The sequence below is a fragment of the Homo sapiens genome, chromosome 18 (genome assembly GCF_000001405.40).
Source record: "Homo sapiens chromosome 18, GRCh38.p14 Primary Assembly".
NCBI lineage: Eukaryota > Metazoa > Chordata > Mammalia > Primates > Hominidae > Homo > Homo sapiens.
The window spans coordinates 26,948,840-26,974,866 of record NC_000018.10 but is presented as its reverse complement, the minus strand read 5'-3'; the positions used below and the strand labels follow the sequence as shown (position 1 = coordinate 26,974,866).

Here is a 26,027-nt window from a genome sequence, read left to right as displayed (position 1 = left end):
CCATCCCTACTAAAAATACAAAAAATTTAGCCGGGCGTGGTGGCACACGCCTGTAATCCCAGCTCCTCGGGAGGCTGAGGCAGGAGAATCATCTCAGCTTGGGATGCAGAGGTTGCGGTGAGCCGAGATCGGGCCACTGCACTCCAATCTGGGTGACAGAGTGAGACCCTGTCTCAAAAAAAAAAAAGGAAAAAAAAAAGAAAGAAAATAAGTATGCCTGCTCTGCCTACTATATGCTTGTTGGGAGGACCGGATGAGATCATGGATGATGGAAGAATCTGAAAGCTGCCAGGCACCATGCAAATATAAGGAAACTAATTTTTAAATTGGAAACAAAATTATAACCTAAAGCTAAAGTCACTGATAGGGTTTCAGAAGAAATCAATTCAACAGCAGTTATAAAATACAGAAAACATACTTCATATCTTATTCTTCTCTTCCCTCTTCCTTTCCCACATTTTTCATACTTCCACCATCCAAAATGTTTGCTGTTCTTTTCAGGATTCCACCTGTGTTGGAACACTGATAGTGACTAGAGAAAGTGTTGCATTCACCTCTTTTGGTTACTCGCAGTTTTTCACCTAGTTAACCATCTTTGCCATGCCTGCCTGTGTCCACTGTCCACTCCTGAAGACTGCTTTTCATCTTATTAGTCCCTTATTTCTTTCATTTCAAGTTGCATTGGATCTTAAAACTTCAGGAAGGAAATAGGCATCTCCCTGAGTTGTTATAGGTCATAGTTCAAATGCCATACTTCAGATTGTGTGAGGCTGCCATGAATTGATGGAACACAATAAAATGGAGTCACCAAAATGTATGGCCCAGATGGTGGCTTGATTAAAAACATCTCAGTGTGTCCAAAATATCATGGCAGGCATGCACAATTTTTTTGTCCATGAAGGCCCTACAAGATTCATGATAAGATTTTATTTTTAATGAGGATCTAATTAGAGAGCTCAGCATGAGAGTCTGAACACAAGAGCAGTCAGTATAGTTTGGTGCAATAAAATATTCCTTGAGCCCGTAGGCACCAAGGTTAAAAGGAAGAATAGCACATAGCCCCTGGTGGGGGAAACAGATACAAAAACCAGGTCATTAGAATATAAGGGCCCAGCATGCTCAGAGTGACGGCACCCACTTTTGGGTTCAAAAAACACTTTCCCATTTAAAGGGGTGTCCAGTCTTTTGACTTCCTTGGACCACATTGGAAGAAAAAGTATTATCTTGAGCCACACGTAAAATACACTAACAATAGCAGATACGCTTTTAAAAATTGCAAAAAAACATAATGTCATGTTTTAAGAAAGTTTACAAATTTGTGTTCGGCCACATTCAACGCCATTCTGGGCCGCATGCCGCCTGCAGGCCGCAGGTTGGATAAGCTTGATCTAAAGCAACACCTTCTCCAGCTTTTATGAGACTACTTGAACCCGGGGCCTTCTACGCACTGTTCCGCACCTTCGCCTCCTTGATGCCTTCTCATCCCATGGGACTCTTGACTCATTCATTTTTTTCATGCACACACTTGTTGTGTGCCTAATTCTGCCAGGTACCACTCTAGACACTGGAATTTCCACACAGAACAAGACACAGCCAATCCCAGCTGTCTGATTATGGAGCTTACGTTCTAGCAGTAAGAAATAGACCATTGAAAAGGAATTAGGTAAACTATAGGACTGCAGACTGCAGTAACCACCATGAAGGAAATACAGGGAGTGGTGAGACCAACGATAAACAGGAGAGGCCTCCTTGAGGTCAGGGAAAGCCTCTCCAACGGGAGACATTTGAGCTAAGACATGAAAAAGGAGAGAACATGTTCTAGGTAAAGGGAATGTCCGCGAGGCTGGAAGAATTTGTTGTAATCAAGTGACCAAAAGGAGGCCAGTGTAGCTGGCTTCAGTAAACGAGGAGCGGGGTGCCAGGGGGTGAAGCCAGAGGGTGAAGCTCGGCCGTCTTCTGGGTCGTGGGAAGAAACTGGATTTCATTCTTAGTGCCACGCAGTGTTGGAAGCCAAAACTGCATTTTAAAACACACACTTGAAAGGAAATCTGGTATCAGAGCCCGTGGCAAGGAAAAGCGCCATCCCCGGGTGAGCCGCCTCAGCTCTCATCTGGATCACTGTCTTGCTCGCCGCCGCCCCCTGCCTCCATCTTTACCCTCCCAGAGTCCATTCCCAACACAGATCCTTTATCAAGTTAGTGAAATCGGGTTATTTTTCTGCCTCCAATTCTGACACGGCTCCTTGTACCATTCGCAGGAAAAGGTGGAATCCCCAAGGCCTCATGCCCCAAACTCTGTCGGTCCCCATCTGCTCCACCACACTGGCTTCCTTGCTGCCTAAACACACGGCCATGCTCTCTCTCCCTTTAGGGCTTTTGCGCTCCTGCTCCCTCTGTCTAGAACCCTTTCTCCCAGGATAGCTGCATGACTGACTCTGTCACCTCCTTCAATTCCTTGCTCAATGTCACCATCTATTTTTTCTTCCTTTTTTTTTTTTTTTTTTTTTTTTGGAGTTGGAGTCTTGCTCTGTCACCTGGGCTGGAGTGCAGTGGTGCGATCTCGGCTCACTACAACCTCCGCCTCCCAGGTTCAAGTGATTCTCTTGCCTCACCCTCCCGAGTAGCTGGGACTACAGGCCCGTGCTATCACGCCTGGATAATTTTTGTGTTTTTAGTGGAGATGGGTTTTCGCCATGTTGGCCAGGCTGGTCTGGAACTCCTGACCTCAAGTGATCCGCCCGCCTCGGCCTCCCAAAGTGCTGGGATTGCAGACGTGAGCCACGGCGTCTGGCCCAATGTAACCATCTTAATGAAAACCCCATTCCCCTCCACACCCCTGCCACACCTCCATCACAACCTCCTCACCAAACTCTGCTTTTTTTCCGCCATAATACTTGTCATCTTCTAACATGTTCTACCATTTACTTACCTATCGTGTCTATTACTTATTGTCTGTGTTCCCCTTCAGAGACTGGAATAAGCTCCACCAGGCAGAAATCTTTGTCTGTGGGGAGTCGTGGGAGCTATCCATAGCCGTGGGAGCTATCCATAGCCATGGGCGCTCTGTCCTTCCAGGTCTAGTGGAGGAGTGGATTTCCCTGCCCGCCCCCCGAGCTGGGCGTGGCTGTGTGACTTGCTTTGGCCAATAGAAAGTGAGCAGAAGGGATGCGTGCTGCTGCTGCGGGCAGAGCTCTTTGCAGCCAGCACATCTGCCACGTCCATTCCTCCCTCTGACACAGCATCTGCACCTTTCTAGATGGAAGCTGCTCCACTGGGCTTGCTCCCTGAGTGATTAATTCGAACATTATTCCCCTGGCAGCCATCAAAGGACATAGAGTATGATAAATGAATAAACCTTTCCTTTTAAGCCACTGTGACTTGGCAATTGTTTGTTATTGCAACACAACCTAGTCTATTCTGACTATGTCTCACATGTTCAGGAATGCCTCCTGAGTACTGACAACAATGCCAGGTGCACAGCATATGCTCCATAAGTGTTTGTTGAGTGAATTTCTCTGTCTTTATTCTGAAATTTTTACACAGCATACTTTAAATTTAAATGTGCTAAAGTTGTCACCAATATCTAGACACCAGCTTTATTCCATTGAGTGAGTGTTCTATGACTGACATGGTCAACAATCAACATTAAGTACCTACTATGCAAGTTAGGTCTTTCTTAGGGCCCCAGAGGAATAAGCCACTGTGTCTACCTTAAGGTAGTTTGCAATCTAGTTGCAGAAACAGAAGATGTGCTCAGAATCATCTGCTCCACTGTGTAGTAGTGGGTGATACATCCTAAAACTGTCCTGAGAGTTCAGGGGTGGAAGCCACTAATGAGGATGAGGCTGGTGAGAGAAGGGGATAGGAGGCTACCTGAGCTGGGCCTTGAGGACATAGACAAGCAAAAATAGAGCTGAGAAAAGATTTCTGCCAGAAGGAACAACATTCAATCACACACAAGCAGGAATAGATCTTGAAACATTAGAAGGTAACATATATCACCATGGGTAGAGGCCAGATTTCTTTGATTGCAGTGATGGATGTCTATGTGCTGGCTCCACGACTTTAGATGAGTCAGTTAACTTCCCCATGCTTCAGTTTCCTTATTTATGAGGTGGCAATTATGATGATACCTTCCTCAGCCAGGCGCATTGGCTCACGCCTATAATCCCAGCACTTTGGGAGGCCGAGACAGGAGGATCACCTGGGCCCAGAAGCTCAAGTCCTGCCTGGGCAACATGGTGAAACCCCATCTCTACAAAAAATACAAAATTAGCCAGGTGTGGTGGCATGTGACTGTAGTCCCAGCTACTTGGGAGGCTGAGGAGGGAGAATCGCTTTAGCCCCAGAGTCAGAGGTTGCAGTGAGCCGAGACTGTGCCACTGCACTCTAGCCTGGCTGACAGAGTGAGACCCTGTCTCAAAAATAATAATAATAATAATAGTACGTACCTCAAAGGGCTGTTGTGTAGTTTAAATGAATCAATACATACAGCATTTAGAATTGTACCTGGCAGATAGGAAGCATTCATTTGGAAAGAAGAGTTGAGAGTTGAGCAGATCTCAGATTTTGCAAGATCTTGAATCTGAAATAAAGCAGTCTAATGTCATTCTATAAGCAAAAATACTTTCCATTTGCAGCTCAAAGATTTTGATCAGAAATCTGTATTTTAGAAGCTTAACATCACAGCAGGGTGAGTCTGGGTTGAAAGTGGGAGACACTGGAGGCAGAGACACTGGTTTAGAGGCAGACATGATAATCTCACTGTGGGCAATTTTAGGCACCCAACCATGGTAATGGCCAAGGAAGAAACATGCTGGAGACGCCCTGGAGAAGGTGCTCTGGACCTACCAATGGGTCATGTGGGAAAGGAAACAAAGAAGTAAATGGCCCCAAAATTTCAGGGTCTGGATGACCAAGAAATGTAATGATAACACTGACCAAAATGGTGAAGATCAGAGGGGAACAGATTTTAAGGGAAATATAACAAATTCTATTTTAGACACTAAAGTATCAAGATCAAACTATTTAGAAAGAAATTAGATACGATAAACTGAAGCTTAACTTAAGGCTACGCTCAAATGTCACTCAGAAAATCTTCCCCAAATAACTTATCTAAAATACCTCCCTCCTCCCTCACTCTCTAGCTCATCACCCTAATTTATCTTCTTCATTTCACTTCATGGCACAATAAGACCGTATACATTTGCTTATTTGCTAATTGTTTGTATGCTCCTCCCCAACTCTCTAATGTAAGCTCAGCAAGAACAGGAACCTTTTCTTCCTTATTCATTGCTGTGTGCGCAGAGCCCAGGAGAGTGCCTAGCCCGGTCGGTTTTCAAGAACTATTTTGTGGAATAAACTCATCTTTATCTGGGAGCTTAATTGCCAAATATATACTCACAACCCAAGGTCACCTTCAACCTGTATAGAGACTTCTATCCTTTTATTATTAGGGCTTAACACACACACACACACACACACACACACAGAGAGAGAGAGAGAGAATCAAAAAAGGAAGACTAGCTAGTAAAGAGTATTAAAATATAAGACTGCATAAATTCGTGGCCAGGCGCGGTGGCTCACGCCTGTAATCCTAGCACTTTGGGAAGCTGAGGCGGGTGGATCACAAGGTCAGGAGATCGAGACCAACCTGGCTAATACGGTGAAACCCCGTCTCCACTAAAAGTACAAAAAATAAATTAGCCAGGCACGGTGGCGGGCGCCTGTAGTCCCAACTACTTGGGAGGCTGAGGCAGGAGAATGGCGTGAACCCGGGAGGCGGAGCTTGCAGTGAGCCGAGATCGCACCACTGCACTCCAGCCTGGGTGACAGAGCGAGACTCCATCTCAAAAAAAAAAAAAAAAGACTGCATAAATTCAAATGAGAATGGTCAATGGAACAGAGTGAGTGTAGATAGACTTGAACCCATGTGAGGATTTTGTGTAAGTGAAGTGGTAATCAGTAGAAGAAAGATAGATGTTTCAATCAACATTTTGAGCAAAACTGACCAGCCACCTGGAAGAAAAACATATCTGGATCCTTTCCTCAAACATTAAACCAAAATAAATTTCAAATGTGTCAAATTTTTAACCATAAGGTAAGAAATCATCAAAATAATTGTAAAAGTCATAGAAGAAAATAGCTCATTTTTAAAAAACAGCTGTGGATTGAGAAAAGCCTTTCTAAAAATGGTATGAAATGCATGCACCATTGTAGAATATTTAATGAATATATACATATTAAAGACATCCACACACATGCAAACAAATTTTCATGACTTCAAAAGACAGCAGACTTAAAACTTATTTAGAATTTGGCACACAGGTATCTAATTTCTTTAAAGTGCAACAAAACTATTATAAATAAAAAGTAGATGTGTGGAAAATGGACAAGCTGTAGAAAAATAAACACCAATGGTTAGTAAACATAAAAGCACCGACCTCACTCATGATTTTTTTAAACGTTGGTTAAAAACATGAGATAGCAATGCCAACAGTTTCAAAGTCTGACAATGCTAAAGCCTAGAGGATGTGGGTGAAATAACAAACTCTCATAAATTGTTGGTGGGAGTGTAAATATATATTACTTATATAATATATCTTTTTTGGTCATGTAGCAATAACAACCAAAAATTTCAATTTCCATACTGTATTAGTCAGGGTTCTCTGGAGGGATAGAACAAATGGGATAGATGCATATACGAAGGAAAGTTTATTAGAAGAATTGAGTCACAGGACCACAAGGTGAAGTCCCACAATAGGCCGTCTGCAAGGTGAGGAGCCAGGAAGCCAGATCCAAAGTCCCCAAAGCTCGAAAGCAGGGAAGCCAATAGTGCAGCCTTCAGTCTGCGGCCGAAGGCCTGAGAGCCCCTGGCAAATCACTGATGTAAGTCCAAGAGTCCAAAGCTGAAGAACTTGGAGTCTGATGTTCGAGGGCAGGAAGCATCCAGTATGGGAGAAAGATGGAGGCCAGAAAACTTAGCCAGTCTAGTCTTTCCACCTTCTTCTGCCTGCTTTTATTCTGGCCGCACTGGCAGCTGATTAGATTGTGTCCACCCAGATTGAGGGTGGGTCTACCCTTCCCAGTCCACTGATTCAAATGTTAATCTCCTTTGGCAACACCTCACAGACACACCCAGGAACAACAATACTTTGCATCCTTCAATCCAATCAAGTTGACACAATATTAACCATCACACACACCTTTTGGCCACATAATTCCACTTCTAAGAATTTAACCGATAGAATATACTTGCATGAGTACACAAAGATTACAAGAAGTTTCATTGACAAATTGCTTGTAATAAGAAATTTCTAAACACATACAATAGTTATCTGCCCACAAAATTATAGGACTTCTATTCAGTAGAATACAATGCAGTTATTGAAAACAATGAGGTAGATCTATAGGGACCAACAAAAAGGTGTTTACAATATACAGGTATATTGTAATATACAAAAGCAAAAAACAAGTAGCTGAAGAGCATCTACACCATGGCCCTACTACACGTGTAAAAAGCAAAAAGACAAATATAAATATCCCTGTAAATGCAACATAAACTTTCAGAATGTTAGATAAGCAGTCCCTTATATAAGCAGCTTCCTACATAGCATTCAGAAAGCTTTCATTGCATATACAAGGATTTTTGTATTTGTCTTCTTGCTTTTAAAGACATAGGGGGTGTGACTAAGGGTGAAGTGACCCTTTTGATTTTTGCCTTACACTCTCTCAGTATTGGAAACGTCTTTCATGATGAATATGATTAGTGTTAGAATTCACAAAAGGAAGAATAAAGCCCTCAGTGTTTCAGTCACACTCTCCTTTTGACCCATCCCCCAAAAAGCGTATCTGTAGTGTCTGCCTGAGACTGAAATGACAAGTCCCCAGGCCAACCCGAGATATCTACCAACTGGAACATTAGGAAATCATGTCAATTTCCAGAATCTTCTGAAACTCTGCAAGAGCTTTTTTTTTTTTTTTTTTTAAAGAAAGTAATAATTAAGTATTGTTTTCTTATCTCCAGTAATCATCAAAAACTTAGCCAGGGACAACCAGAAATCCTAAAATAATTCATGTGCCTTAAAATAACCAACTTTCCTTCACTTGTTCAGTTGATAACAACTTGGGATCTTCTCCACCACTGCCAGGGGAGCTAGGAAGCTGAAAGAATGACTGGCAAGGCTGTGTCATGACAGAAAGGTCTGTGGCCAATCCATCTGAAGGTCCAACCATTCTAAACAGCTATGTCACAGGTACACATACAAGTGCACACATGAACGTGTGTGTAGTAAGAGAGAGAGATTCCAAGCCAGTATCATCATTTCATCAAAGACGTTTAAATCCAGAAGTACTATATGTATTATTTATATTCATGCCTTGTTTCAAAATCATTTAAGGCAAAGAGATGAAATTTTTAAAATCCCCAAAGATCTAGATTATTATTCTTGCAACTTAAAATGAGTGTATATTTCTGCTTTGGGGTCTAAGACACCAATAACATATTTTTAAGGCTTTAACTCGCTTTTGCTGTGCCTGATCTTTTCTAAGAATTTAAAAGAGATTTCTTTAGAAAAATGAAAGAATATTTTCAATTATACTTTGTACTTGATTTTTTAAAAGAGCTGTCATATAAAGCATAGTTTTATAGTGTCCCACCTTTTTAATACATCAGAAAAATCATTAAAAGTTGTCAAGATTGGATTTTCCTAACTTACCCTTTCTACACTAAATGATCAATTGAGTCTATCAATTGGGATTGCCAGACACTTTAGAAAGAAATAAAAACAATTAGTTGGGAAAATTAAAAGCAGCATTATGAATAAACTATTTACTTTTTGCCAAACTGTGCAACATTAGGCATAGGAACTGAGGCATGGATCATATTATGTCTATTCTGTTTTAATTGTCAATCTTGTCTCACTGGATGGTAGTCAGGGTTCCAAAGGGTTTTTTTGTTTCCTCAATGTCTACTTCTTTGACACCCTTTCTTGTCCTCCTATGAGATGTTTTCTTCCTGAGTCCCTCACTAGGCCTACCAGTTGACCATGAGGCTCTGATCTCTGTGAGTTTATTCAGCATCTGATGCTACTAGTATAAGATCTTCTTACCCTTAACTCGACAGATGATTTTTGCTGTTGCTGCAGGAGTGAAGAGGAGAGTGAACATGTGTTAAGCTCTTCTAGATACATGGCACACATTATTCATTTAGTCTTCATAGCAATACCATGCAGTAAATTTTATTGTTATCACATCTCTCTGATTTGCAATCAGTGGCTTAGAGATGTTAAATAAGTTGCCCAGTGTTGCTCAGCTAATGGTGGTAGCGCTCAGACTTGAACTTAGGTCTGTGAATTCCAAAACCCATGCTACAGGCCAGGTCAAACTAAAGGGCAAGCCAGATGGCCTGCTTCCCAGGGGTTCTAATCTATAAAAAGCACAGGACATTACTGGAGTAAATCAGTAATGTGTTGTCAGTTCACTGAGGTTCTCATACACAAATCTTCACATAGTTATAAACTGATGGCACTGCTATGGAGCTACACTGCTCCTGCAAGTGGAAATAACACTGCCACCAGCACAAGTACTTGCTACCTCAGTTGAGTATTTTTATGAAACACATTGCAGGCCGCACAGTGCAGCTTCGGGCCATGACCCACCAGCCAGGGGACACTCACATGAGTCTCATAATCCATTCACAGTCGGCTCAAATTCTAAACCCAAAAAATGCTGGTCCAATGCTTGTAATTGGGAATGCATTCAGTTGTAAATAGTTTTCATAATAGCTTCCCAAGAATTTCATCACTTTGGACAACTACAAATAATGAAGGAAAGAAATAAATCACGATTCTGGACATTAAAGCAGAGGAAACCCTCTTATTTTCTAGTCTAAGGCTCCTGCCATCGCCATCTGACCTTCCTTCTGACCACTAGGCAGAAAGACCTCCCATCTTCGCTCCTTTCCCTGTGCATTTGTCCCTCATGTCACCTCTTCCTCATCCTGTTTGCTTCATGCTCTCTTCTTCTGCTGTACTCTGAAACACAGGGTCAATCCTGCACATTTCCTTTAGTCTTGTTCTGGAAGGGCACAGCTCAAAGCTCCTCCTTCTCCAAGAAAGTGTTTTCCATCCTTTCCCACATCACAGCACACATGGAAGAAGGTGGTATTTGTGTAGCACACACAGTGGACAAGACTGCTCTGCTGGAGGTGGGAAGGCAATGAGCTTAGAGATTTGGGCTGGCCCAGGCCCTGACTGGTAGACCCAGAAGCCAGGGGGCAAATACAGAGGCATACCTGTTTACGGCCCACAGTCTGCTGCCTGAGAAGCTCTGCCCTGAAGAACACTAGAACTTCCATAACTGTAAGCTGGGCCTAGATCTGATTTTCTCACTTATTGTAAATACATCAAGAAAAATAAAGCAGCAGATATAAGTAACATGCACTAAATGGGAAATAGGAATTTGAAGTCCTATTTGTTTGAAGTCCAGAAAAATATTTGTTTCTGGAGAGAAATAATAAAACAGGTGGGCGGTTGAGAATGAACATACATTTCATGTAACCAATACCTTGTTAAGGTCGTCAACTGAAAATTATAAGAGCTGCCTCTGAAAACATCCATAAAGTATTGCACTAATTTCTTAGTGGCTAAGTTAGATATGAGCAATAAAATAAAGGAAATTATATGGATTTCTATTTGGTCTCCAATTTTTATAAAGCATTAGAACGTTAATAAATGTTGTCCAACTTGTGTTAGCCACATCAGCGTTCTGCTTCTATTTTTTATTTTAAATGTCTGTGGTTTTCCTTTAAATTAATCAAAAATGCTCTTCTTATGAAACTATAAGAAGAACTATTTGCTTCCCTGGCTACAAATATTTAGATTACATAATCACTTTTTCTTTCCTTCTTAAGGTTGTGTTAAGTGAAAGAGATAATGCATATAACAGTAGTGACTATATTTATTGAGCACTTACTATGTGACCTGCACTACTCTAAGTATGAAACGTGCATGATATCGTTTAGTCCTCATGAAAACCTCAAGAGGTAGGGATTGTCTCTGATAATCTCCATTTTAGAAGGCTAAATCAAGGTTTACGGATGCTAAGGAAATTGAATTGCCTGAAGTCACATGGCTACTAAAATGAAGAATTAGTCCTGGAACCCAGTCTCACTGACACCCAAGTTTGTGATCTTACTCACTACATTCTACTTTTACAAAATATTCTTTGAGTTGAAATAGATGTTTTCATTTGTAGAGACACTGAAATAATTGTTTCCTTTTTTTTTTTTTTTTAATACTCCTTAAAAACAGAAGCTGGAATCTGCGCTGCCCAGCACCCTAGGGCTCTGTGAAGTTTTTCCATTTGAACAGATGGGGGAGCTTGTAGGCAGCTAATCTTTTCATTCTTTGTGTTCTTAAAAATAGACCCAACGGCTCAGTAATAAGCACCAACATTAATGTTTGTTTAGTCCTGGTGATGACTTACCAGGACACAGAGTTTAGGAGTTTGGAGATCCTGCCAAGCTTAGCGGAAAGTGCACATCTAGAAGAAAAGGTGCAAAAGCAGCCCATGGTTCCAGGAAATGGCAGAGGAGTGAGTCCTTCATGTCAAGTTTTGGAAAAATGAGATTTATCAAATGTTTAATAGAAGACAGTTTGAGACAGTGGAAAGAACTCTATGTTGAGAGGCAGACTGACTTGGGTTCACATATGACCCCATGAGTGTTTTTGTTTGTTTCATTCACTCTATGCCCAATACAGTGCCCGGTACATAATATGCCCTCAGTATTTTCTGAACGAATGACTAAATGGGTGAATTAATAACTTACTGAACCCTCAATTTTCTCATCGAAGTAATGGGTGTTCCTCAGAAAATGTCAGCTTTAAAGTTTCAAATACACAAAAAAACTTTTACAAAACTGTTTCTCTGGCTTCATCCCATCTCACGAATGATTTCTAGAGGTCTTGAGTTTGTTCCACCTGACTCATAAACACACCATCTACCATCTATCACCTACCACCTGCCAGTTTTCTCCCCATTTATACCAGACACCTGCGGAGATACTGCCTGAAGCGGCCTTGGATCTCAATACCCAGGTGATAAGCAAACTACCCCAGGCGATGGTGATGCCACCAGCCTTTACTCTACCAGCTCCCAGCAGCTGCACCTGTCCCCAGGTGAAAGGCACCAACTATCAGTAAATGTCCCAAAGGAAACAGAGGCCACATTCAGATTGAGATAAGTTAAAAAAAGATTATATAGAAAGAGACTACAATGCTGAGCGCAGTGGCTCACACCTGTAATCCCAGCACCTTGGGAAGCTGAGGTGGGTGGATCACTTTAGGGCAGGAGTTCAAGACCAGCCTGGCCAGCAGGACAAAACTCCATCTCTACTAAAAATACAAAAACTAGCCGGGCATGGTGGCAGATGCCTGTAGTCCTAGTTACTTAGGAGGCTGAGGCAGGAGAATCACTTGAACCCAGGAGGCAGAGGTTGCAGTGTGCTGAGATCGCGCCACTGCACCCCAGCCTGGGCGACAGAGCCAGACTTGGTCTCAAAAAAAAAAAAAAAGGAGACTATAATTTGGGATAGGAGTAGAGGGAGCAGCAGACCACGGAAGATAGTATAGTAACCCCAGGTTAGTAACAGGAGAGTCATTAACACCCCAGGCTGGAAGAGTCAGTGGGTGTGAACAGTTATGGGAACTAGAAAGGGAAAATTCTGTAAGCTGTGTCTCAGTTTAAAAGCTGGAGCCTTTTGGCAGTTTTTCCTGACACCCCCAGGCCAACTTTGGCCCTCTTCATCTGAATGGAGACTGGACTTTGCCTTATTCCTATGGCAACTCTCACTCCGAATCTGTCCTGTGTGTCTCCCTGCCAGACTGAGAGGAGGGACTGATTATACCCTTTCGCCTTTGTATTTCCAGTAGCCAGCCCAAGACCAACACAAACTAGACTTTCAAACCAGGTATGAATGGTTGAACAAGTGGATGAATGAAGGAACGCCTGTCCTAATGTGCAAAAAAGAAAAGCATATTCAAAGCCTCACCCATGTTTCTTATCCAAAACAGAAACATTGTTCTCTTTAAATTGATGCAGTACCTTTTCCTAATAAAAAAGTTTTGAAAAGCAAAAGCAGGTCAGGCCCAGTGGCTTTCACCTGCAATTCCAACACTTTGGGAGGCCAAGGCAAGAGGATCGATTGAGCCCAGGAGTTTGGGAACAGCCTGAACAATAAAGCAAGACCTTCATCTCTACACATTAAAAAAATTAACTGGGTGCAGTGACGCATGCCTCTAGTCCCAGCTACTTGGAGGCTGAATTGGAGGGATTGTCTGAGCCCAAGAGTTCGAGGCTGCAGTGAGCTATGATTGCACCATTGCACTCCAGCCTGGGCAATGGAGCCAGTTGCTGTCACAAGGGCAAAAAAAAAAAAGGAAACAGATGTGCTTAAATTAAAAGTAACTCTTACTCCTTTCCCACCCGGCCTTAACGTGTAACAAAGTGCTAAAGTATATCTCCTCTGACTTCTTTACATATAATCATATGTACTTTAAAAAACATATTAGTTATACACATTGTTCTAAAAATACAATGGAGGTATTGTTCTCTAGCCTTACATACAGATATGACCTTATTATTTTTAATTGCTGCACGGAGTTGTGCCTTTCCAAGCTGGACACTGAAAGCAGAAACCAGAAAGGAAATGATGTAGGCTCAGAAGTGAGGCTTGAGTTCATCACCTCCCAGCTGCAATTCCAGGCACGTTAGTATCTGTATGCCTCATTCTTCATCATCTGCAATAGCCTTATCCCACAGAAGTGCTGGGAGAACTGAGTGAAGAATGTATCGATGTTGCTGGTATGTTGTAAGCGCTTACTGAATACTAGCCATTGCTATAATATTCTTTTATTCCCTAAACATTGTACACAAGTAAAGGTGAGTGACAAATTAGGACAAATATTCATAAAACATATGATGGGCAAAAATTATTATTACTAGAAGGAAGAGAATACTCCATTAGAAGAAAGAAGTCCTGGCATAGTGGTTCATGCCTGTAATCCCAGCTACTCGAAAGGATATGGCAGAATTGCTGAAGCCCAGGAGTCAGAGTTTAGAGTGAGCCCTGATCGCACCACTAACTCCTGCCTGGGCTCTGCCCTTAACCCATTTATGCTGGAGGTTGCAATTTTTTGAATTTTTGCAATCAGACCTTGGCAATGACCTTGAGCAGTAGGATATAAATAACTCCCATATGCTTAGCGTTCCAATAATGGAATGCTAGGCATAAACAATTCTGTTGTTCTCCGATAAATTCTAAACATTCCTTAGCCTCAGCTTAATAAATAAGGAAATCAGCCTAATTTTCTTCTGCTAAAACTTGCAATTGTCTTTTAACTCCACAACCAGTGAGAACTTAAGCTCTTACACCAAACTTCAAATTTGCTAGTTCCTGAGAATAAATCCTTGTGGTAGCTTAGAGAAGGAGTCTCTTCTTATTCACTATGGATGATGTAAAATTTGCATTCCACTATCTAAGTTGAATAATTTGAAACATCAAATTATTCAAATATAAATAAAATACAACCATTTTCCAAAGTTCAAATCTTGATATTTATTTCCCTTCAACTCGAGAGTCTTCTACGCTCTCTTCTCCCCATCATCTCTCTGCAGAAGACTGCCTGGTATTTTCCTGATATCTATTTCTGCCTCCTGTGGGATGTTTTACTGGTATTTTAAACCAAATAAATGCTAAACCGAGCTTATCATCCCACCTCCTCTGTTGCTCACCAAACTTACTTCTTTAAATTGGACCTATTTCCTTATTTTTACCTTTGCATTAATAGCATCTTCTCCCAAGTAACCAAGCTTAAAATCTTGCTCCTCTTTTATTCCTTTTTTCCCCATCCTAACCCCTCATCTGAATCTTCAAATCCATTTTACTCATACAATGTGCCCTACATTCATCTACACTTTTCCATCTCTTTGCCAGGATCCCCCATCCTCAAGGTTAATCTTCCTAGGGTACCATTTGGATCAATCTTTGACTCAAAATTATTCAAGGACTCCCTCAACAAATATTATGTCAAAAAATATTTCTTTAAGTATCTAGAGTCCTCCGTGATACTGGCCCATCATACAATTTTTGCTTTGTCTCTTATTACTTTGCCAATATACAGACCACCTTTAAGTTCAGTGCAACCATTTACTGTTCCTTAGACATTCCCTGATGTGCTTTTGCTCATGCTTTTCCTTCCAGGTAAAATACTGTTCCCCTAATCTGCTTCTGTTAATGTCCTATCCAGATCAAACGCTGTCTCTTCCATGAAGTCTTCCCAGGTTCCCACACCAAACATGAATCCTTTCTTTCTGTTTTTAATATGATTTCAACTTTTATTTTAGATTCAGGGGATACATGTGCAGGTTTGTTACCTGGGTATCTTGTGTGATGCTGAAGTTTGGGATACCATTGATCCCATCACCCAGATACTGAGCACAGTACCCAATAGTTAGTTTTTCAACCCTTCCCCACCTCCATCACTCCTCCCTCTAGTGGTCTTCAGTGTCGATTGTTTCCATCTTTATGTTCATGTGTACCCAATGTTTAGCTCCCACTTATAAGTGAGAACATGTAGAATTTGGTTTATGTTCCTGGATATTAATTTGCTTAGGATAATGGCCTCTAGCTGCATCTGTGTTCCTACAAAGGACATGGTTTCATTTTTTCATGGCTGCATAGTAGTCCATGGTGTATATGTACCACATTTTCTTTATCCAATCCACTATTGATGGGCACCTAGGTTGATTTCATGTCTTGCTATTGTGAATAGTGCTGCAATGAACATATGAGTGCATATGTCTTTTTGGTAGAACAATTTCTTTCTTTTGTATATATACCCTGTAATGGGATTGCTGGGTTGAATGGAACTTCCATTTTAAGTTTTTTGAGAAATCTTCAAACTGCTTTCCACAGTGGCTGAACTAATTTACATTCCCACCAACAGTGTATAAGCATTCCCTTTCCTCCATGGCCTCGCCAGCATGTGCTGTTTCGACTTTTAGTAATAGCCATTCTAACTGGCATGAGATGCTATCTCATTGTGGTTTTGATATGCATTTCTCTGATAATTAGTAACGTTGAGCATTTTTTCTTGTGTTTGCTGACAGCTTCCTTTGAGAAGTGTCTGTTCACATCTTTTGTCCATTTTTTAATGAGGTTGTTTGTTTTTGCTTGTTCAATTGTTTAAGTTCCTTATAGATTCTGGATATTAACCCTTTTGAATGCACAGTTTGCAAATATTTTCTCCTGTTCTGTAGGTCATCTGCTTACTTTGTTGATGGTTTCTTGAAGCTCTTTAGTTTAACTAGGTCCCACTTGTCAATTTTTCTTTTTGTTTTTTTTTTTTGCAGTTACTTTTGAGGGCTTAGTCATTAATTCCTTCCCAGAGCTGATGTCTAGAATCGTGTTTCCTAGGCTTCCTTTCTTTTTTATCTGTGCCAATCCTATGGGAATTTTCATTACTCCTCATTCTTTTAAGAGTCAAAGAACGTAAACAACTATAAGCAAATTTAGTATTTATATCCCTGTTATGCAATAAAGACAAAACAAAAGCCAGGGAAGTGAAGTAATTTGCCAAATATCATATAGCCTGGCAAAGTCAAGACTAGAAATGTCTGAGAATCAGGCGCAGTGGCTCACGCCTGTAATCCCAGCACTTTGGGAGGCCAAGGTAGGTGGATCACCTGAGGTCGGGAGTTCAAGACCAGCCTGACTGACATGGAGAAACCCCATGTCTACTAAAAATACAAAATTAGCCAGGTGTGGTGGTGCATGCCTGTAATCCCAGCTACTCAGGAGGCTGAGGCAGGAGAATTGCTTGAACCCAGGAGGCGGAGGTTGTAGTGAGTGGAGATCGTGCCACTGCACTACAGCCTGGATGACAAAGAGTGACCCCATCTAAAAAAAGAAAACAAAAACAACAAAAAAGAAAGAAAGAAATAAGTAGAATGTAATTTTTCATGTCATAAACATAAAATGTACCTAGGCACTTTTCTACCTTTCTTTTGCACAGGTGTGAGTATATGCATACATACCTGCCTGTTCACCCAACATAACCCACACATACACACACAATCTACTCACACCACAGCTATCTTTGCAAAATAGGTAACTACAACTCCAGAAGAAGATTCTCTGATAGTGGTGAAAATTGTCATTTATTATGACGATGATGATTGTGATTGCTATTGTCGTTATTAAAGTCCAGATCTGATGCTTGGCTATTTTTTTTTTTTTTTGCAGTGTAGTTATAAACAATGAATACAGGGTTTTAAAACAAAGGATCAAGGTAGTAGCTAAGTATGACAGCTAAAAATTCCTATTTCTAAATAGCTCTCAGTAGGGGATAAAAAGCAATTGATAGCTCTCTTTGGGACAAACGTACTGAGATAGCATGTCTACACTATCTATATTAGTACCTGGTCCTCTTAGCCATCTGTCAAAGAAACAGACTGACTTCAACCAACAGTTTCCATAAAACTCATTTTCTAGACAAAGAAACTGAGGTTTGACAGAGAATGAAGTATAGGCTTGGTGAGAGAGCATTCTGAGCTCCGTAATTCACTTAGCCTCTGGGCTCCTGCACCCCTCATCCTTTTTATTCTCAGTGTTTCAGGGCATTGTTCCTTCAGTTTGCACTGGGTTGGTTGGAGGTAGGCACCACAGGTTTGATTGATACAGCAATTTGCATCTCAAGGCATCGCTCGATAAATACAGTGCAATGAAAGGCTACTCTCTCACCAGCCAATTTCCCCCGCTGGGCTGACTTTAGAAGCTCATTGATGTCACTTCCTTCCTCAGTCAGCAAGTGAATTTTCTTTAATTCTCAAGACCAGCTGTCCATGCTGTCAACAGAAAGTTATTAAAATTCCTTTAAAGTGAATAAAAATAGCCTAAAAGCAAATGTACTTGGAAACAGGAAAGAATCAGTATGCAAAGTCCACAAACCTCTGAGCAAAATAATGTTGATCCAACCAGAGATTTCAAACATTGTATATTCAAGTTGCTAGAAAAAAATAATTAAAAGATGCTAAGCCACATACTTCTTAATCTTTTATTAGCAAAGGCTTATATAGTTAAAACATATCCCCCTAAATTTCATTCCGCCTTTTCAAGTATGATTTGAATAAATTTGAGAATGACTTAAGTTTTCGTTAAGTGGGATTCCCTCCTCTTTTCTTGCATAGGCCAGAGAATATTGTCATCTCCACCAGGCTAAGGCTATCCATAAGCAAGAGACAAACATTATCATTAGCAGAATCATAACCACTAGGACCACAAAAATAATATAATTGTGTGTGTGTATATATATAAAAAATTGTATATTATATATATAATTGTATATATGTACACAATTATATTATTTTTGTGGTCCTAGTGATTATATAATTGTGTATATATATATAGATATAATTATATATGATATATGTATATTTGTATATATGATATAATTGTGTGTGTATATATATATATATATATTTTTTTTTTTTTTTTGAGACAGAGTCTCACTCTGTCGCCCAGGCTGGAGTTCAGTGGCGCAATCTCAGCTCACTGTAACCTCTGCCTCTTGGATTCAAGCAATTCTCCTTCCTCAGCCTCCTGAGTAGCTGGGACTACAGGTGTGCGCCACCACACCCAGCTAATTTTTAGTAGAGACAGGGTTTAGTATTTTCAGTAGAGACAGGGTTTTACCATGTTGGCCAGGCTGGTCTTAAACTCCTGGCCTTGTGATCCACCTGCCTCAGCCTCCCAAAGTGCTGGGAGTATAGGCGTGAATCACTGCACCTGGCGCTATAATTATATATTTTAATTTATTGGAATTTTACTAGCTCAAGGGAAGAGGTAATTTTTTCTCATATTTAAATGGCTATAACTCACAGAAATGAACTATGTGGCTCCTGAGTCCCCCTGATCCTCAACTGACTGCGTGACCTCAGTCACTGGAAGATTGCCCTGTTACCTTCTGAATCAGCCCTTGCTTTACCCTTCAGGCCCCCAGCAGCTGAGCTCCTGCCTTCTTTCCTGAGTTGTACATGACCTGGTACCCAAGTCCCTCCAAAGCATGGATATGTTCCTTACCACCAGTAATCACCTGCCTCTTCCTTATTTGGACAGATGTCATGAATGCTGGACTCCCTCTGACCTTTTGCCAAGGAAACTTGTATCCAGCCTCTCTTGTCATCCCCAGACACACCCCAAGCTTGTGTCTTGGGTTCTTCTCCAGTGCCTGGGCTCTCAATTTCAGCCTGCACTTGTGCTGTCCAGCCTACCCAAGGCTTCCTTGCTACACACACTGCACAAAGTAATTAAAAGAAAGTGCATATATTTACCACAGCTGTGCCCCAAAAAAACTATTTGAGTAAATAGTTTAGTGGAAAAATGGTAGAAATTTGGGTAAATTCAAACTAAAAGGACAAGTATAATGTGGTTAATCATCAGGAAAATTGCAAATCATGATCTTGTAAGTTATGTAGAATTAACTCTCAGTCCTTCCCCTCAATTCCCATAATTTGGAGCACACTGTATTCCTAATACAGAACTATGATGGTATAGATGTGTAAAATACAAAAAAAAAAAAAAACAGAATTCTGGTGTAATTCCTGTTATTGAGGTGCTTAAACATTTTGGAAAATCAGTTGGGAACGAATATGAAAAGGGCTGCTATCACAAACAAAGCATTTGATATGGCCCAGAATTCATCAGCAGTCAAACTCAGGCCCTAATATCATCCATCTAAAGATTTTTAACCCATGTACCCTTTCTTTCATGAGCAAACCAGGGCCAGGAGCAGCTGCCCTCAATATGTTGGAGGCTAGTGCAAGGCTTCACCCACTGAGATCAATATATATATTGAACACTCTAGGTGTTCAATACATATATTTATGGAATAATTGATAGTGGTCTCAGTATCACTGAGCTGGGTCCTTAGGATACAATAAACAAAATGAATGTAGTCCCTGGCCTCAAGGAGCTTACATTATAGAATAGGAAACAAGCAAAAAAGTAACCAGACCTGCAAATAAAATAATTGCAAGTTTGTGGTAAGTGCTATGAAAGAAACAATAGGCTGAGATCAAGAATCACAAGAAGAGATGGGGTGACCAGGGAAGAACTCCTGACGTCTTAATATTAAAGTGAGACTTGAAAAATATGAAAGAACCAGACCTGCAAAATTGGAGAGAGAAGATAACAGCATGTGCAAAAGACAAGAGGCCAAAAAGGACCAGAAATGAACATAAGACCAGAGTAGATGGAGGGTAGAAAGGAAGGGAAACAGACAGCAAGGCAAGGTTGTAGAGGTGGTAGGAAAGAAGCAGATGGTGCAAGGCCTACAAGATGAAGAAAGGAACTTGGAGAGAGCCAGAGTGGCAACTGGGAGACCCCAGAAGGCTAACAGCATAGTCCAGGGGAGACATGTTGATGGGCTCAACAAATTGGGGACTGTGGTTAGACAGCATGCATTGTAGATATATTCTGAAGACACTGACACACTGTCCTGCTACCCATGGACTTCTTTGAGTCCCTGTTCCCCACCCTGTCATTGGCCCCTTGAGCTATTTCCTCGTCCTGTGCCTTTTCATAAGCAATAGCTTCCTCTCTATGCTTCTTTGAGAGGTAAGGACAGGGCCCCAGTCTGCTGAATGACCAAATCTGCCCTGTTTCAGATCACCATATTGGCCCTCTTTCCCAGATTCTCAGATTCCTTATTAAAATACAATTTGATGGTGAAAAGAGGGGGATGTGATACTCCAGAACTCCACAGTTCTGGAATATGAAATTACTCTACATGTGCAGATCTATAATGGGCGTATTTGCACCCCAGGAAAGAGGAATAGATTCATAATCTCATCTTCTTTTCCTTGCCCCATTTCAAGACTTCACATGTGGCACCTTCAAAACAGTTCAAGCACCCCTACAGAAGTGGTCATGCTAAATGTAGGTGATAGTACAGAAAGAGACAATGTCATGGAAAAGGGGAGAACAGAGCCAACCAGTTCTTTGGGAGAAAGGAGCAGGCTAATTGGGAGCAATGGTCTTGTTCACAGTTGGGTCTCCAGAACTTTGTACCCATCCATACATGACACCTGACAGCTGATCAAACAGTATTTGTTGGAATAAATGAATGAATAAAGTCAGGTACAACTCCTTCTAATCTTTATTCCCTGTATTCATTTGTTACCAATTTCTTTCAAACATTTCTTCAACAGGCTGTCTTTGATTTTCTTCATTTTCCTTCTCATTTCTACCTCCCTAGTCTAGGCCCCAACCCATCACTTACTTTGTGCAACCCACCAATGCCTCCTAGATATTCTCCAATTTCTCCCCCTACTCTGAGCAATTTATTTACCAGTTTAATGTTCCTTTATAACCCACCTCTGCTGAAAAAACCATAATTGCCCCCCAAATTGTCTATCGCTTTAAACATAAAGCAATTGACCCAGACCTGCCTGGGCAATGCTGTTTCTCTCTAAACCCTCTCCCCTAGTTAGGGTAGTCATCACCATTATTCTCCCCAACTTCCATCCATTTTTGAAGACCTAATTCAAATTCCACCTTCTAATTATTCTGATTCCTGTTACAAAGACAGGTCCTATCTCTGAACTTATTTTTAAGTTCTTAAACTCACCATATCTCTAGAATTTGCTCAGACATGCAAAAGAGATATCCAATAGATAGTACAATACAGATACTTAGATATCCATATTCAAGAGATATTCTTGAACTCCAAGAAGTGAAAGGCTAATAATAAATCAATTAAAATCATGGTCCCTGGTTGTTCAAGACATATTCCTGCATGAGTTAAAAGGGAGTATAGCAGTGATTAATGACAGCATACCTCTGGGAAACCTACTTGTTTCCCAAGACCAATCATATTGGTTTTCCCCATCTGTGTGCCCACAGCTTGCTAACCATAACTCTATGAAAACACTTCTCAGGAGGCACTGCAGTTTATCTTCACTTATTTCTCTCTGCCACCTGACCCTGACCTCCTTGAGGGCAAGCACCCTGCTGTATCATCTTTGCATGCCCAGCACTTAGGAGGTATCTGACACAGTGAAGGTATTATATTTTTTGGAATGAATATACTATACTGTAAGATATTAAACTTACATTTTTAGTTCTTAAGTTAGAGAAAATGACTACACAGCTAATGAGTCTGTAGTTCTGAGGGACTAGTAACTTACCCAGAGAAGCCTACATCCAAGAAATTATTTCACACGTTAGAGCCTATGGTTCAAAATAAACTTTCACAAGGTGGTAAAAGATACACCCAGGTACCAAGTGCTGCTGGATGGACTGGTCCTCCAGGGTTTATACCAATTGTCAGAGCCCCAAATGACTGTTCATTGCAGGAAATAAGATTTCCCTCCGGTAAAAACTATGGTGCAAAGGCAGTCTCTATGTACAAAATCCCCACCACAGACAATTGTTGATGTCCCAATTGCCCAGGAGTCCTACCTGCCTGAGGACATAGTTGGTGGAGTTGAGATCCACAATGGGGATTGTAAAATAAAGGTTTCCAACACCCTGAAAAGCCGACTGGATCTCAGGCCAGCAGATGATGCCAGAAGTCCGGGGAGCCTTGTTTGGTCCAAATGCCAACAGCTTTTGGGAGGTGAAGTCCATCCCTAGCCCTCCTGCTATGATGTGGAAGCTTCTGATATTTGAAGAAACAAGAATGTCTAAGTGGCTTCCTCTTTGCTGTTCGAGTATTGCTCTGTCTTTTTCAGTGGATGCCCCTCTGTCACTAATGTCCTTGCCTAATTGCTAACAATGGGAGAGAGTGTCATGTAATATGATCAGGAACCCACCTCTAGTTTATCTCAAAGTAGCACAGCTCCAGTTGGTTCTGCAGCATTAGGTGATGGGAGCAGATGGTGGCTGCATGCACTTCACCAAGATCTTCCTCTGGCTCCCAGCAACCTAGTCTAGAGGTGATGTGTATGGTGTTCTCTGCCCTGAAGTCTCTGCTCTTGAGATTTAAGACACAGGTGGCACATTATTCCTTCCAGCAGTAGTAGCTTCACTGTTACTGTTTGGGCCTAGAAATTTTCCTCATCTATAAATGTGATCTAAAATCTAAGCCATGAATGTGCTTTATTTATTAAAACAAAAGATTTATGTTGATTTAATTGTAACTTTTTATGTAAGGCACTACAAATTTATGGTTTGAGAGAGTAAAGTTCCTACTGAGATACCTAGAAAAGAAGTATTTTCCAAATCCCTTTGACCAAAAAAAAAACAAAAAGACTTTGAGCAACAGATAGATTCTTGCAGATCTATGCATGGCTGAAGAAGGTCTATTAGCCTCCTGCCATTTTCCCTTTTTTCCTGTGTGTTGGCATTTTTCTGAAATGCAGAATCATAACTGCTCTTAGATTCTCAAAGGGGCCTGTTACCTGAAAGAGGTTTAGAACCACTGCTTTAAACTGTTTAGGCAGCAAAATAACTTTCCCTAGAATTTTAATCAGTTCGGGGTGATTAATCAAGCAACTTACAATGAGAAGAATTAGTGAGTCTCACTGCAAAGTTTGGAGAATTTGAGGCAGTTGTCCTGGAATTATAAATCTTAGAGAAATAGGTCCTTCCCCACCCATGTTGATGATAGTGGGTTAGGGCTGTTTCTACAAATTTTATTCCTGAAGCTCATGAATGCACAGAAGTGTCTCAACACCACCTTCATCATAAGATGAGCCAACAGTGTGCGCAACCTGCCTCTGCAGTTTATTCTGCTTTGTTTTGTGAAGACATAATGAGATTAAAATTTAAGAAATCTGGGATGACTCTCCACTTAATCTGCCGGTCAGACAACTTTGTCAATTTTTTTATTTTTTCCCTCTTTAATCCTCTAACCAAAAGCTGGAGGGATAAGACCCAAATATGAGACAAAAAAGACTAGTTTTATCCTGAAAGTTAGCTTTAAAAAAATTTTGTTTCAATAATTTTTGCAGAACAGGTGGTTCTTGATTACATGGATAAGTTCTTCAGTGGTGATTCTGAGATTTTGGTGCACTCATCGCCTAAGCAGTGTGCACGGTACCCCATATGTTGTCTTTTCTCCCTCACCCTCCCTCAACCCTTCCCTCTGAGTCCCTCAAGTCCATTACATCATTTCTACACCTTTGCATCCTCATAGCTTAGCTCCCACTTATAAATGAGAACATGTGATATTTGGTTTTCTGTTCCTAACTTACTTCACTTAGGATAATGGCCTCTAGCTCCATCCAAGTTGTTGCAAATGCCATTGTTTCATTCCATTTTATGGCTGAGTAGTATTCCACGGTGTATATATACCACATTTTCTTTATCCACTTACTGGTTGATGGGCATTTAGGTTGGTTCTACATTTTTGCAACTGCGAATTGTGCTGCTAAAAACCTGCATGTTCATATGTCTTTTTTATATAATGAAAGTTTGCTTTTCTATGTCTTAAGAGTAGCTATGTTGTTCCTTAGAATGCTGGCTGTCCTTTCACCCATAGACCATGAAAATTTGGACAAGTTTCTGCATGTATTTGAGCCCTGGTCACATAATCTTTAAAAACATAGGAGGAATAATCTCTACTTTTCAGGACATAATGTCTGTGAGGTATGTCGCCTAGGCCCAGGGCACAGCAGTTACTCAGCAGCAGTGTGCTTTCCTCCCCGTACCTTGAGGAACAGCTGAGAAAAAGCATAAGAACTTGTTTGAATTCATTTCCTTTTGCTGCTGTAACAAATCACCAAAAACTCTGTGGCTTAAAACAACACAAATGTATGCATCTTACAATTCTAAAGGTCAGAGTTCAGATGGGCCTCACCAGACTAAAATCAGGGTATCAGCAAGGCTGCGTTCCTTTGCAGGGCTCTAGGAGTCATCTATGTCCTTCCCTTTTCCAGTTTCCAGAGGTTGCCCACAGTACTTGGCTCACAGCCCTCTTCAGCAATGGCATTACTCCGACCCCTGCTGCTACTGCCACCTCGCCTTCTCTCTGCTGTAAACTCTCCTGCCCCTTTATTATAAGGACTCTTATGATTACACTGGCTGTGTCCAGATAAGCTTCCCATCCACAGATCCTTAACTGAATCACATCTGCAAAGTCCCTTTGTCATGAAAGGTCCCGTATTCACAGGCTGATTAGGATGTGGACATGTTGGGGGCCATTATTCAATCTGCCGTAATTGTCATGTCAGCTTCTGTAACCTACAGGTATCTTCCTCTTTATTACAGGCACAAGCCTCACTTATTAACTTCCTCTTCATTTTTTTTCCTTCTCCCATTGTATCTTTTTGTTTGTTTGTTTGTTTATTTTCAGACAGGGTCTCACTATGTTTCTAGGACTGTCTTGAATTCAAGGGCTCAAGCAATCCTCCCACCTCAGTCTCTTGAGTAGCTGGGACTACAGGCACATGCAACCACACCCAGCTAATTAAAAAAAAAAGTAGAGATGAGGTCTTGCTGTATTCTCATTGTATCTTTAATAATGCTATCATCTGCCAGATTCCCTAATAAAAACCTGAGTGTTGTCCTTGCTTCTTGCTCCTGTATTTCCCACATTCAATCAATCTCCAGAACCTACTTCAGAAATACCACCTGCTCCTGGCGTCCCTCCCTTCCCATTCTCACTGCCTGGGCTCAAGCCCGCACCCCTTCTGCCTGGACACAGCACATGCTCATTGCTGTCTTCACCACCCACCTCTACTACCCCTTCAACCCGTCTCCACACCACCACTCAATTCATCTTTCTCAAGAACTGCTTTGGCCACCTCATCCTCATCTGAAAGACTTTTGCTGGCCTCCTTCTGCCTGCAAAGCCTCCAATATCACCCCAAGTCACAATCTCCAAAGGCTGGGCCCCTTCCCTCTTCCCACATTCCATCCCCACACCTGCTAAAGTGTATGCGTGTATTACATAAGCCGCTCAGAACTTCTCACGATTCACCCACACACACCCTACACTTACCTGCCTCTTAGATTTCTTTACT

General features: G+C 41.2%; 1 protein-coding gene, 1 long non-coding RNA gene and 1 pseudogene across 6 annotated transcripts in view, besides 2 other annotated features; 2 read left to right on the top strand and 1 right to left on the bottom strand.

Moving 5' to 3' along the window:
- LOC124904275 (uncharacterized) overlaps positions 1–4,584 on the bottom strand; it is a 29,076-nt gene extending 24,492 nt beyond the window's left edge. The window contains exon 1 of the long non-coding RNA XR_007066323.1: positions 4,509–4,584. This is a non-coding gene — a long non-coding RNA (uncharacterized LOC124904275). The remainder of the gene's footprint in view (positions 1–4,508) is intronic.
- CHST9 (carbohydrate sulfotransferase 9) overlaps positions 1–26,027 on the top strand; it is a 278,828-nt gene that overhangs the window by 210,442 nt on the left and 42,359 nt on the right. The window lies entirely within an intron of this gene.
- Positions 17,133–17,719: an enhancer, noted in NCBI's record as "OCT4-NANOG hESC enhancer chr18:24537112-24537698 (GRCh37/hg19 assembly coordinates)". NCBI's record gives its function as "activates a minimal SCP1, AML or CMV promoter by ChIP-STARR-seq in primed H9 embryonic stem cells {active_cell/tissue: H9 hESC(primed)}" and the evidence as "EXISTENCE:reporter gene assay evidence [ECO:0000049][PMID:30033119]".
- Positions 17,720–18,307: an enhancer, noted in NCBI's record as "OCT4-NANOG hESC enhancer chr18:24536524-24537111 (GRCh37/hg19 assembly coordinates)". NCBI's record gives its function as "activates a minimal SCP1, AML or CMV promoter by ChIP-STARR-seq in naive and primed H9 embryonic stem cells {active_cell/tissue: H9 hESC(naive and primed)}" and the evidence as "EXISTENCE:reporter gene assay evidence [ECO:0000049][PMID:30033119]".
- On the top strand, positions 22,299–22,862 carry ATP6V1E1P2 (ATPase H+ transporting V1 subunit E1 pseudogene 2; annotated as a pseudogene).